A 13,341-nucleotide genomic window follows, 5' to 3' on the forward strand; every position below is an offset into this window, starting at 1 on the left:
CAACATTAGACAGATCAACGAGACAGGAAGTTAACAAGAATACCCAGGAATTGAACTAAGCTCTGCACCAAGCGGACCTAATAGACATCTACAGAACTCTCCACCCCAAATCAGCAGAATATACTTTTTTTTCAGCACCACACCACACCTATTCCAAAATTGACCACATACTTGGAAGTAAAGCTCTCCTCAGCAAATGTAAAAGAACAGAAATTATAACAAACTGTCTCTCAGACCACAGTGCAAGCAAACTAGAACTCAGGATTAAGAAACTCACTCAAAACCACTCAACTACATGGAAACTGAACAACCTGCTCCTGAATGACTACTGGGTACATAACGAAATGAAGGCAGAAATAAAGATGCTCTTTGAAACCAACGAGAACAAAGACACAACATAACACAATCTCTGGGACACATTCAAAGCAGTGTGTAGAGGGAAATTTATAGCACTAAATGCCCACAAGAGAAAGCAGAAAAGATCCAAAATTGACACCCTAACATCACAATTAAAAGAACTAGAAAAGCAAGAGCAAACACATTCAAAAGCTAGCAGGAGGCAAGAAATAACTAAAATCAGAGCAGAACTGAAGGAAATAGAGACACAAAAAACCCTTCAAAAAATTAATGAATTCAGGAGCCGGTTTTTTGAAAGGATCAACAAAATTGATAGACCGCTAGCAAGACTAATAAAGAAAAAAAGAAGAATCAAACAGACGCAATAAAAAATGATAAAGGGGATATCACCACCGATCCCACAGAAATACAAACTACCATCAGAGAATACTACAAACACCTCTACGCAAATAAACTAGAAAATCTAGAAGAAATGGATAAATTCCTCGAAACATACATTCTCCCAAGACTAAATCAGGAAGAAGTTGAATCTCTGAATAGACCAATAACAGGATCTGAAATTGTGGCAATAATCAATAGCTTACCAACCAAAAAGAGTCCAGGACCAGATGGATTCACAGCCGAATTCTACCAGAGGTACAAGGAGGAACTGGTAACATTCCTTCTGAAACTATTCCGATCAATAGAAAAAGAGGGAATCCTCCCTAACTCATTTTATGAGGCCAGCATCATCCTGATACCAAAGCCTTGCAGAGACACAACCAAAAAAGAGAATTTTAGACCAATATCCTTGATGAACATTGATGCAAAAATCCTCAATAAAATACTGGCAAACTGAATCCAGCAGCACATCAAAAACCTTATCCACCATGATCAAGTGAGCTTCATCCCTGGGATGCAAGGCTGGTTCAATATACGCAAATCAATAAATGTAATCCAGAATATAAACAGAACCAAAGACAAAAACCACATGATTATCTCAATAGATGCAGAAAAGGCCTTTGCCAAAATTCAACAACACTTCATGCTAAAAACTCTCAATAAATTAGGTATTCATGGGACGTATCTCAAAATAATAAGAGCTATCTATGACAAACCCACAGCCAATATCATACTGAATGGGCAAAAACTGGAAGCATTCCCTTTGAAAACTGGCACAAGACAGGGATGCCCTCTCTCACCACTCCTATTCAACATAATGTTGGAAGTTCTGGCCAGGGCAATTAGGCAGGAGAAGGAAATAAAGGGTATTCAATTAGGAAAAGAGGAAGTCAAATTGTCCCTGTTTGCAGATGACATGATTGTACATCTAGAAAACCCCACTGTCTCAGCCCAAAATCTCCTTAAGTTGATAAGCAACTTCAGCAAAGTCTCAGGATACAAAATCAACGTACAAAAATCACAAGCATTCTTATACACCAATAACAGACAAACAGAGAGCCAAATCATGAGTGAACTCCCATTCACAATTGCTTCAAAGAGAATAAAATACTTAGGAATCCAACTTACAAGGGACGTGAAGGACCTCTTCAAGGAGAACTACAAACCACCGCTCAATGAAATAAAAGAGGATACAAACAAATGGAAGAACATTCTATGCTCATGGGTAGGAAGAATCAATATCGTGAAAATGGCCATACTGCCCAAGGTAATTTATAGATTCAATGCCATCCCCATCAAGCTACCAATGACTTTCTTCACAGAATTGGAAAAAACTACTTTAAAGTTCATATGGAACCAAAAAAGAGCCCGCATCGCCAAGTCAATCCTAAGCCAAAAGAACAAATCTGGAGGCATCACGCTACCTGACTTCAAACTATACTACAAGGTTACAGTAACCAAAACAGCATGGTACTGATACCAAAACAGAGATATAGATCAATGGAACAGATCAGAGCCCTCAGAAATAATGCCGCATATCTACAACTATCTGATCTTTGACAAACCTGAGAAAAACAAGCAATGGGGAAAGGATTTCCTATTTAATAAATGGTGCTGGGAAAACTGGCTGGCCATATGTAGAAAGCTGAAACTCGATCCCTTCCTTACACCTTATACAAAAATTAATTCATGATGGATTAAAGACTTACATGTTAGACATAAAACCATAAAAACCCTAGAAGAAAACCTAGGCATTACCATTCAGCACATAGGCATGGGCAAGGACTTCATGTCTAAAACACCAAAAGCATTGGCAACAAAAGCCAAAATTGACAAATGGGATCTAATTAAACTACAGAGCTTCTGCACAGCAAGAGAAACTACCATCAGAGTGAACAGGCAACCTACAAAATAGGAGAAAATTTTCACAACCTACTCATCTGACAAAGGGCTAATATCCAGAATCTACAATGAACTCAAACAAATTTACAAGAAAAAAACAAACAACCCCATGAAAAAGTGGGCAAACGATATGAACAGACACTTCTCAAAAGAAGACATTTATGCAGCCAAAAGACTCATGAAAAAATGCTCATCATCACTGGCCATCAGAGAAATGCAAATCAAAACCACAATGAGATACCATCTCACACCAGTTAGAATGTCAATCATTAAAAAGTCAGGAAACAACAGGTGCTGGAGAGGATGTGGAGAAATAGGAACACTTTTACACTATTGGTGGGACTATAAACTAGTTCAACCATTGTGGAAGTCAGTGTGGTGATTCCTCAGGGATCTAGAACTAGAAATACCATTTGACCCAGCCATCCTATTACTGGGTATATACCCAAAGGACTATAAATCATGCTGCTATAAAGACACATGCACACGTATGTTTATTGCTGCACTATTCACAATAGCAAAGACTTGGAACCAACCCAAATGTCCAACAGTGATAGACTGGATTAAGAAAATGTGGCACATATATACCATGGAATACTATGCAGCCATAAAAAATGATGAGTTCATGTCCTTTGTAGGGACATGGATGAAATTGGAAATCATCATTCTCAGTAAACTATCGCAAGAACAAAACACCAAACACCGCATGTTCTCACTCATAGATGGGAATTGAACAATGAGAACACATGGACACAGGAAGGGGAACATCACACTCTGGGGACTGTTGTGGGGTGGGGGGAGTGGGGAGGGATAGCATTAGGAAATATACCTAATGCTAAATGACGATTTAATGGGTGTAGCACACCATCATGGCACATGTATACATATGTAACTAACCTGCACATTGTGCACATGTACCCTAAAACTTAAAGTATGATAATAATAATAATAATAAATAATAAAAAAAGAAGAAGAAGAAGAAGAAAGAGGAGGAGGAGGTGAAAAGAAAAAATCAGCTCATGAATGATATCAAGACAGGAAACGGGCATTTAATGACTACTGTTTTGCAAGGGATTCAGACACTCCTACAAGGCTAAATTGTAAGGTTGATGAAAACATCATTTAAGATGTAGCCTATCATAATTATTTGTACAAAAGTACTTTTGAAAGCTTTATTAAGTTTTAATTAACATACAGTAAACTGCACATATTTAAAATGCAAAAAAATTAAATTAAATTAAATTAAATTAAACACTTTTATGAAGCTCTAAGTATAAAAAGTCATTAAAGTACCATTTCAAATATAAATATGTTCATTCCAGAAATTAAAAACATATAAAACCAAATGGCTTTTCCAAGTTAATGAAACAGAATAAGGTGCTAAGGAATACAAAGTGGGCTAGGCACGGTGGCTCACGCCTGTAATCCCAACACTTTGGGAGGCTGAGGTGGGCAGATCGCTTGAGCCTAGGAGTTTGAGACCAGCCTGGGCACCATGGTGAAACCCCGTCTCTACAAAAAATACAAAAATTAGCCAGGTGTGGTGGCATGTGCCTGTAGTCCCAGCTACTTGGGAGGCTGAGGCAGGAGGATCGCTTGAGCCTGGGAGGTCAAGGCTGTAGTGAGTCATGATTGCATGCCACTGCACTCAGGCCTGGTCAACAGAGTGAGACCCTGTCTCCAAAAAAAAAAAAAAAAAAGAAAAAGAATAGAAAAAAAAGAAAAAAGTGATAACACTGATTTTAAACTAAAAGTTTTAAACTTTTAAGTTCATCTCATTCAAACTTCACATATAAATATTTAGATACTTACAAGTTTCTCCTCTAGAGAAAGAGCACCCTCTACTGCCAATATCTGGTATTGCTTATGTTTTAAATTTCCCATAGATTTCCGAAGTTGCTTGAGACTGCTAGCCTCTATGTCTTGCTTTAATAATTTCTGCATTTCTCGAGAAGGACATCCAGGATCAAGTATTAGTAAGCATAATGTTCGGTTTTTTTTCTCTTCAATTCCAATAACAGTTCGACTGTGACCTATCAAAAGATTTTTAAGTTATACATACGTCACATCTATTTACAGTTATACAAATAGTCTCTGTATGTATGTTGTGTGATCATATGTGTGTTTAGAATATAAATACAGTCAGACTCTGACACATATGTATCTAAGTTCTCCTAAGACGTAAGAGTTTAGTTCTACTTCAGTTTTTTCATTTAACTTTAGTTTTCTAAAGGCTTCATTACCAAAAAAAACATTTTTATTCTGCCAAATATTTTACTTTTCCTTTCCCAATCCTTTGATCCTTCTTATTCAAATTATCTCAAATGAAAGAACAAAAACTGTTCTAGAACAAAACTCTCATGATTCCAAAAGGTAAACAAAAGTAAACCCATAAATGCTAGAATATCAGTGGAGGGAGCTTAATCTCTTATAGTTTATATTCCTAAACAATGAAATTCCTAACATTTACTTCTGTTTATTCCTGTCAATCCAAACCATCATTCATAATTTACCAAGTATCTATGTGCCGGGTACTACTCCAAGCACGAAGGTATATAACAGCAAACAAAACAGACAAACGTGCCTGTGTTCTTGGAACTTATATTCTAATAGGAAGAGATACTCTATAAATGAGGTAAATAAGTGAAGAAAATGCCAGCGGTGGGATGCTGGGATGAGTTGTACGTGTTTTTGACACAGCCTCACTCCGCCGCCCAGGCTGGAGTGCAGTGGCAGAATCATGGCTCACTATAGCCCCCAACTCCAAGGCTCAAGTGACCCTCCCACCTCAGCCTCCTGAGTAGCTAGGACTACAGGCATGTGCCACCACACCTGGCTAATTTTCTTATGTTTTTGTAGAGACAGGGTCTCACTATGTCACTCAGGCTGGTCTCAAACTGCTGGGCTCAAGCAATCCTCCTGCTTTGGCCTCTGAAAGTGCTAGGATTACAGGCATGAGTTACCATGCCTGGCCTTGAGTTCTACTTTTAAGGTAAGGTAAGGTCAGGGAAGGCCTCACTCAAGTGACATGTGGGTAAAGACCCAAGAAGGTAAGGGATGAACAATGAAGGACAAGTGAACTAAACACAGAAAACAAGAAGTGCAAAAGGTCCTGAAGATGTCAGGAATATCAGTCTTAATTACCCAATGAAGTATTGTAGAAATATCAATCTTAATTACCTAAGAAAGTATTGTACTGTCAAAGGAGCTCTGAAAAATTAAACAGATTAATGTCATAATACTCCCTGCTATTATCAGACCAGCCTGGCCAACATGGTGAAACCCCGTTTCTACTAAAAATACAAAAATTAGCCAGGTATGGTGGCAGGCGCCTGTAATCCCAGCTACTCAGGAGGCTGAGGCAGGAGAATCACTTGAACCTGGAAGGTGGAGGTTGCAGCGAGCCAAGATTGCACCACTGCACTCCAGCCTGAGCAACAGAGTGAGATTCTGTCTAAAAAAACAAACAAACAAACAAAAAACCTTAACCTGTCTGAAAGCAACAATTTGTTATCTTATAAACAACATTGTCAAATATGAGTTATATTAATACTAACCTTGATGCTGAAGATAGATAGGAGGTTTAGATGTACACACTACCTTTGGACTCCCTTCTCCCTCTGAAGAATAATAGTTCAATATCCATTCAAATAAGCGAGGGTGTGTACCCAAAGGACCAGTTGATTTGTGAAAATCAACAATATGACACCTATTAAAAATTGACAAAATGCACATTTAAAGGGCATTTTAAAATATTTTCATCGATGGAGTTATCAAATACAACAAATTCTTAGTTTAGAACTAACTGTTTCTAGCCATTACTTTCCTATAAAAGAAGAAAAGTAAATATAAATTTTTATTACTTATCTAAAAAACTCCTTTTTGTGGGGGATAACTATTTAACAATTCTCCCTATTTAACTATTTAACTATTCCTCTAACTAGCTAACTATTTAAATAACTTCATAATAAGTCTGCTGACTAACCTAAAGGTTACAAACATTCTCTGATATATAAAATCTCCATGAATAGTAAATAATGACCATACTTGATTTTTAAAAAGTCATCTACACATAATTTTTTCACAGCTTTTATTCTAGTTTCTAACCCTGATGATCAGAAGCTGATTTCTGATTTTAATTCCTCAGTAGCCATTGGTATATATAAAATAGATCCTAAATACTTTTCCTGTCGGTCTCTCAAATCTCTATAACAGAAAATACTTGTAAATCATAGAAAAATGTGTGTGTACTCAATCTATACATCTATCTCCTATTTGCCACCGGACCACCGTGGTATTCTTCCTTCAAGAGGAAGTCACCCTTGAATAAACATTTTTTTAACCAGAAACACTGTTTATACTACTCAACAACTGTTTTTAAAAGGTCGGGTATAACTAAAAGCATTTGATAGCTTTATCATCACTTTAAACTACAGCACAGATATCCTGTTCTTGTTTCTCTTGGCAATAAAATCTCTAAAACATCCGAATTGCTAACCTCAGCCTCAGCAAATTTAATGCTGGTAACTTACAGTTGGTTACTGGGTTTTAAGTGCTCAAATAAACTTCTGGATAAACCGTTTAAAAAGAATGTTTTGGGGTTAGCAGTTTGCATATTTACATTTAGAATACTAATTAAACAGTACCCTACAGGATATAACTCATAGAGAGAGCAACAGAAAGACATGTAAATAACTACTAAACACACTCAGGATATATTAATAAAAAAGCTTTCTAAATTATTTAAGGTACCAAGAAAGAAGCTGGACAAAAATTACGGCTGGGTGCAGTGGCTCACGCCTGTGATCCCAGTACTTTGAGAGGCCAAGGCGGGTGGATCGCTTGAGCCTAGGAGTTCAAGACCAGCCTGGACAACATGGCGAAACCCCATCTCTACTAAAAATGCAGAAAAAAAAAAATTAGCCAGGCATGGTGGCACATGCCTGTAATCCCAGCTACTCAGGAGGCAAAGGCACAAGAATCACTTAAGCCTGGGAGGCAGGGGTTGCAGTGAGCCAAGATCGCGCCACTGCACTCTGGTCTGGGTGACAGACTGGAGACAGACTCTGTCTCAAAAAAAAAAAAAGAAAAAGAAAAAGAAAAAAATTACTTTAAAACTCAAAACATGATAGAGTATAAATAATCTCAAAGTGTGAACACATTGGCAAAAAGAAAAAGGAGAAAAGCAGGAATAAATTTAGAGGGCATTAAAATAGTTCTTTAAATAATTCAAGAAAGTTATTATACATACACACAACATTAGTTTTTCTATGTTAATGAAAGAAATATTTTTATTTCTGAATCTAATCAATCAATGTGGTAAAAAGAATGTGATACACTGGTTAAATAACTTAGAAACAAACATAAAAGAAAATATAAAGCCATAAAGCTTAACGCAAACATTCCATTAAACACGATCACAGACATCTATCTCTATTTCCTCTTAAAAACCCAATGACATAATACTGAAGGAAAAAATGATTTAAACACCCAAGGACAAAGAGAATGGGAATAGACAGGAAAAGAGCTCACATCTTCAGAAAATGGAAAGCACCACAGAGAACATATAAAAGTAAATAAAAGAAAATGGAGACCGTATGTTTCAAAATCAGAGAGAGGCTGAAAGCTTAGAAGCATAAGGTTTGAGAACAGTGAGGCTAAAAATATGAGATTAATTAAAAGTTTGCTTAGAAGGCAAATCACACCTTAACTCTCCCCTCCACTAATGTAGGAACTCTAGGTAAGAGAGTGAAAAACTCTTCTCTGGATAACTTCTGGGAAAAGATCTCTCTATATAACGATATTTGAGAGTTCCCCAACCAAATAGTAACCTTCCGCCTTCCACCTAAGACTTTTAAATAAGTCTGCTAATCTGCAAGCTCTGTGCAGTCCTACAGCACTCTAATCAGCTTTTTAATGTTTCATTCTTCACTCTCTGAATGGACAACTAAGGATTTCCAAAATTAAAAGAAAGCCTTCAAAATAGAAAAGACTAAAACAAACAGATATGAAAAAATACTAATATCGAACAAACAAAATGCAGGCAATAGAAAGAAAACATTGGAAGAAATTTTGCAACCATAAAGAAAATGATGCTATGAAATTACCCCTTAACATAATGGGTAAAATAAAAATTTCAATACAGTAATTGGGGGATAAAGTTGAGTAAATCTAGAAAATAGAGAAAAAGCAAAGATTTTTAAAAAAGAGACATGATAAACTTAGAAGGTAAAGAAGCAGGCCGGGCGCCGTGGCTCAAGCCTGTAATCCTAGCACTTCGGGAAGCCGAGGCGGGTGGATCACCTGTGGTCAAGAGTTGAGACCAGCCTGGCCAACATGGTGAAACCTCGTCTCCACTAAAAATACAAAAATTAGCCAGGCGTGGTAGCGGAAGCCTGTAATCCCAGCTACTAGGGAGGCTGAGGCAGGGGAATCGCTTGAACCCAGGAGGCGGAGCTTGCAGTGAGCCAAGATCACGCCACTGCACTCCAGCCTGGGCAACACAGCAAAAACTCCGTCTCAAAAAAAAAAAAAAAAAAAAAAAGATTAGTTCAGTGGCCAACTATCAATAGTTCCACAAAGAAAACAGAGACATTATAATTATCAAACAACAATAGTTAACCTCTGAAGTCATGCTGTATGCCAGTCACAGTTCTAAGTACTTTATTATCCCATTTAATTGTCTAACTACTATTAATACCTTCTTTTATCAATAGTAGACCTAAGTACAGACAAGTTCATTCATTCAGCTATTAAGTAGGAAAGCTATGAATCAAGGTTAGGCAGTCTCGCTCCAAAGTTCAAGCTCTTACCTACTATCCTAGATGGAACTAAGATCTTAGACAACTCACAATTCCAGATTCAAAGAGAAAAACAAATGCCCAACACAATGAATCAAAGCCCCACACCCCATGGTGAAATTTCATAATATCGTGAAATTATGATGGGCTAAGAGAAGGTTGGAATAACTTCCACAGAAAATAAATAGGTTATACATTTTAAAAATGAGACTACACACACACACACACACACAAAACAGTGAAAAAATGCTACATGACAATAGCTGTAGATCTAGAAGGCAAAAAGTCCAGATTGGAGCAAAGAGGACAGAATGCTCAAGAAGGATGTGTCCGAGAATAAGGAGAGCCTCAGATTACATGACAGGTAGAGTGCAAAAACTTGAGGCCATGATGTCGTCACATATTATAGTAAAAGAGAAAAGGAAACACAATTATTAACTCAAGAAAAATTATAAATGATTTTAGAAAAAATCAGCAACAAGCAATATTTACACAATTGTATAATAAAATCTGACTTTATAAAATGATGTAAACTCTGATTTTAATAAAAACCAAGATTTAATCATATCAGAAGGATTGAAGGTAAACAGGTATAAGATATTAAAACAGACTATCTGAAACTCATAAACCAAGAAACAGCTATGAAAGCATACCATTTAAAAACAATGGAAGTGACAGTTGCCTCTGAGAGACAGAACTTGAGGGTAGAGAAGAGCACAAGATAGTGAATAGGCTGCTGATTTTCATTGCTACTTAATTTAGTGCTACTTAATTTTATTTTTAAACTATCTCTTTGCTAAAAAATAAAATTTTACAAAACAAAGCTCCCCGATAAGGAAATAACATTTATTTAGGTTTTAAGGTACATACTTTACCCTTAGGGAGGTCAGGAGTATATATACTTCACATGCTCCAATCCAGGCCTTTGTTCCCTGTAACCTGTTATTAAGTTGAGAGGCCCCCTGAGGATCAAAACCTTCCTTCCATGCATCTTCAATCATAGATTGAATTTTTGGAATGCAAGGAATCAACATACCTAAAATTACACAAGCAAACATGTTACATGACTGTTAATAAAGTACTGAATAATATTTAGCAGTGTATTATGTACTCGGGGAACTTTACGGTTTTTAAGACAGTTATTCCTGACATCTTCTATCATTTTCTCTTCCTCTAACCAGAATTCAGGTTTCTTATATAAATATCCACTAACTGTTAAAGCTATTAATTGTGTATGCTATATCATTCTATATCATATGTATTTTATCAGATGACAAGTTCAGAGTACTAGATTTCACATACCTTTTAAGCAATCGTTGTAAGCATCATTTTGTAATAATGATGAAAGTAGCATTTGGAAATTTCTGTAACCACAACCCCAACCTTTGTCGCCTAAAGATGAATGAAAGTGATCCACCACTGAAGAAAGCCACACCCGTCTCACATCTGTGGCAGCATTCTGATAATACCTATGAAGTGCTTCAATAATTCCTAAAGTAGAAAAGAGATTCAGAAGCAGTCATTATCACCTTTATATTGCTATCTCATACATTTTTAATATCAACCTCTCCTTCACGCACCATACCTAAATCCTGTTAATTCCATCTTCTTCACCTTCTTCTTGCTATAACCTTAGTTTGTGTCCTTGCTTGTTACTACAGTCCAAGTTTCCTAACACTAGCATATTATTTATTACAGTTCATTGAAATTTTCTGCATCTGCAGGGCCCAGCACATAAAGTACAACTGTTGAATGAATGTTCTTCTTGTGTCTCCATTTTATTGTATAGACTACTGGAGATCACTCAGTCTTAATCAATTTGCTCCCAATCAAAAAATATTAATAGCTCCCTATTACCAATAGTTTTAATTTTTTTGTAATTTAAGATTTTATTTTGCAGATTTTGCAATTTTCGAAGCATGAGAATACACAAATGTTTTCATTTAAAAACTCTTGACTTCATGAATAATAAACATATCTCATACTCCAATACGCTAAATTTCAACCCTTTAGTAACATATTCCATTTTGCTATTTGGGGAGATTAATTAATTTGTTTGAGACAACAGAAGACAACTTTTCTTAAGGCAGAACAATAGGTTTAGGAATCTTATTAATAGCCTTATAAACCTAATTAGAATAGTTCTAATCTATGTTATATGAAGTCTACAGAAAGCTATCCACTGTCTTATCTTTATTTCACACTACTCTTCTTGCTGTAATTTTGGCTGTGGCCTAACTGAACACATTAAACATAATTTGGCCCATAGAGTTTTATTAAATTTTCAAATTCAGTATTTGCTAAGTACTTTTTAATACACCTGGCACTATCTAAATGCTAAGTACAAAAAGATAAATATGATAATATCCTTTAAAATGTCATCGACCCCAACTATAACAAGTGCTATAATATGGAAAAACAAGGTGTTAGGACAAGGGACATCTGACTCGGCCCCTTTCCTGCTTTTAGTATATTCTCCTTATGTTTCAAAATTATAGATCCTTCACATGCTACTGTCTTCATAGACCCTTTTTCTGATTCTACCCTATTTTTGTGTCCCCAAGGTACCAGCAACATTCAGTCACAGAATACTATAATTCTTTGTGTATATTTACATACTCTACAGACTCTGTGAAGCCTATGGGTAGGGAGATCTTATTATATGCCCCATAACTTTCTCATAGCATGTGGCACCAAAGACAATAACTAAATTCTTTTTGCTTGAATGAAGGGTTTCCTAGAAGAAAATGGGTTTTTGTCTTTAATAAAGACAATAAAAGATCAATAAATAAAAACAGTTAAATGAACCAATAGTTGTAGCTGTGCCTTGCACCATGAAAAGGTGAAATACTGATCACTGTAACCACTTCCAAAGAACTTAGAAAGACTTGAATTCAAGAAAAACAACAATTAAAATAGTATATAACTGAGTACTAAATGTTGTAGCATGGAATGAATGGGTACCCTAGGAATTCAGAGAAAGAAAGCTAAATGTAGATTTTAATATCATAGACTTTGATGAAGAGATCAAGATTTGAGGCAGCCCTTTAAGAATGAGGTGGAGTAGGGGACAGAAAAAATAGAAAGGAAAGTAATAAACATTCTAGTACATTTTAGTATATATGTTACATATCAGATGGAGAGCAACACTGTCTTAGCAACATCATGCAACTGCTTTAGGGGGAAATTTCCTTATACTTTTTATTCCTTAGCACCTAAATGTCTTTAGATATTTTCCACAGTAAATTTATCTTCAGTTAAATTATATTCTGTTGTTAAAATTATAACAAGATTGCAGTATATAAGTGAAGACTCTTTAAATGATAGCTGCTTAAATTAACACTTGCATAATTAACGAAAAATAAAAATCTCTGCCACTAAATCACTTCTATATTACAGGACAGTGTGCTTTTTTACAGACATATTTAATATTTTCTTCCTGTATCCTAATGAATCATATCACACATCTGGAGGATGCTCTATGCTATAGTGAGAACTTTTTTACATGGAGACCCCTGAAGAAATATAAAGGCAGCCTTTAGAAACAGAATCATGGATATATGAAAATCTATAATATATAGTATCACAAATAGGTGGAGAAAATGCAGATTCAATAAATGGTAGTGAAATAAATAAGCATAATATGTACTTGCTATAAGGACTGTTATAAACAAGGAGAAAATAATCAGATTCCTATCTTCTCCCTCCTCCCTCCAACATACACATGCAAATAAATTCTGGGTGGATTTAAAATCAAAATATGAAATGCAAAATATAAATATTTGAAGAAAACATAAAGGTATATATTTGTGATCTTAAAGATGGGGGAGTTACTTAAGACACAAATAATAAATAGAAAGATTGAGAACTTTGATTACATTCAAATTCAAAACTTCTGTCT

At 35.8% G+C, this 13,341-nt stretch overlaps 1 protein-coding gene across 8 annotated transcripts in view; it reads right to left on the reverse strand.

The window, feature by feature from the left end:
• ZUP1 (zinc finger containing ubiquitin peptidase 1) overlaps positions 1 to 13,341 on the reverse strand; it is a 33,149-nt gene that overhangs the window by 5,644 nt on the left and 14,164 nt on the right. For 4 of the 8 annotated variants that reach the window (NM_001361191.2, NM_001361190.2, NM_145062.3 and 1 more), the window contains 4 exons: positions 10,743 to 10,931; positions 10,311 to 10,476; positions 6,198 to 6,349; positions 4,453 to 4,673 (listed from right to left, as the gene is read on the reverse strand). In NM_001361191.2, the coding sequence (NP_001348120.1) occupies positions 4,453 to 4,673; positions 6,198 to 6,349; positions 10,311 to 10,476; positions 10,743 to 10,931 (728 nt within the window). The remainder of the gene's footprint in view (positions 1 to 4,452; positions 4,674 to 6,197; positions 6,350 to 10,310; positions 10,477 to 10,742; positions 10,932 to 13,341) is intronic. The other 4 variants (NR_154588.2, NR_154589.2, NR_154586.2 and 1 more) reach the window with 3 other exon arrangements.

The sequence above is a fragment of the Homo sapiens genome, chromosome 6 (assembly GCF_000001405.40).
Source record: "Homo sapiens chromosome 6, GRCh38.p14 Primary Assembly".
NCBI lineage: Eukaryota > Metazoa > Chordata > Mammalia > Primates > Hominidae > Homo > Homo sapiens.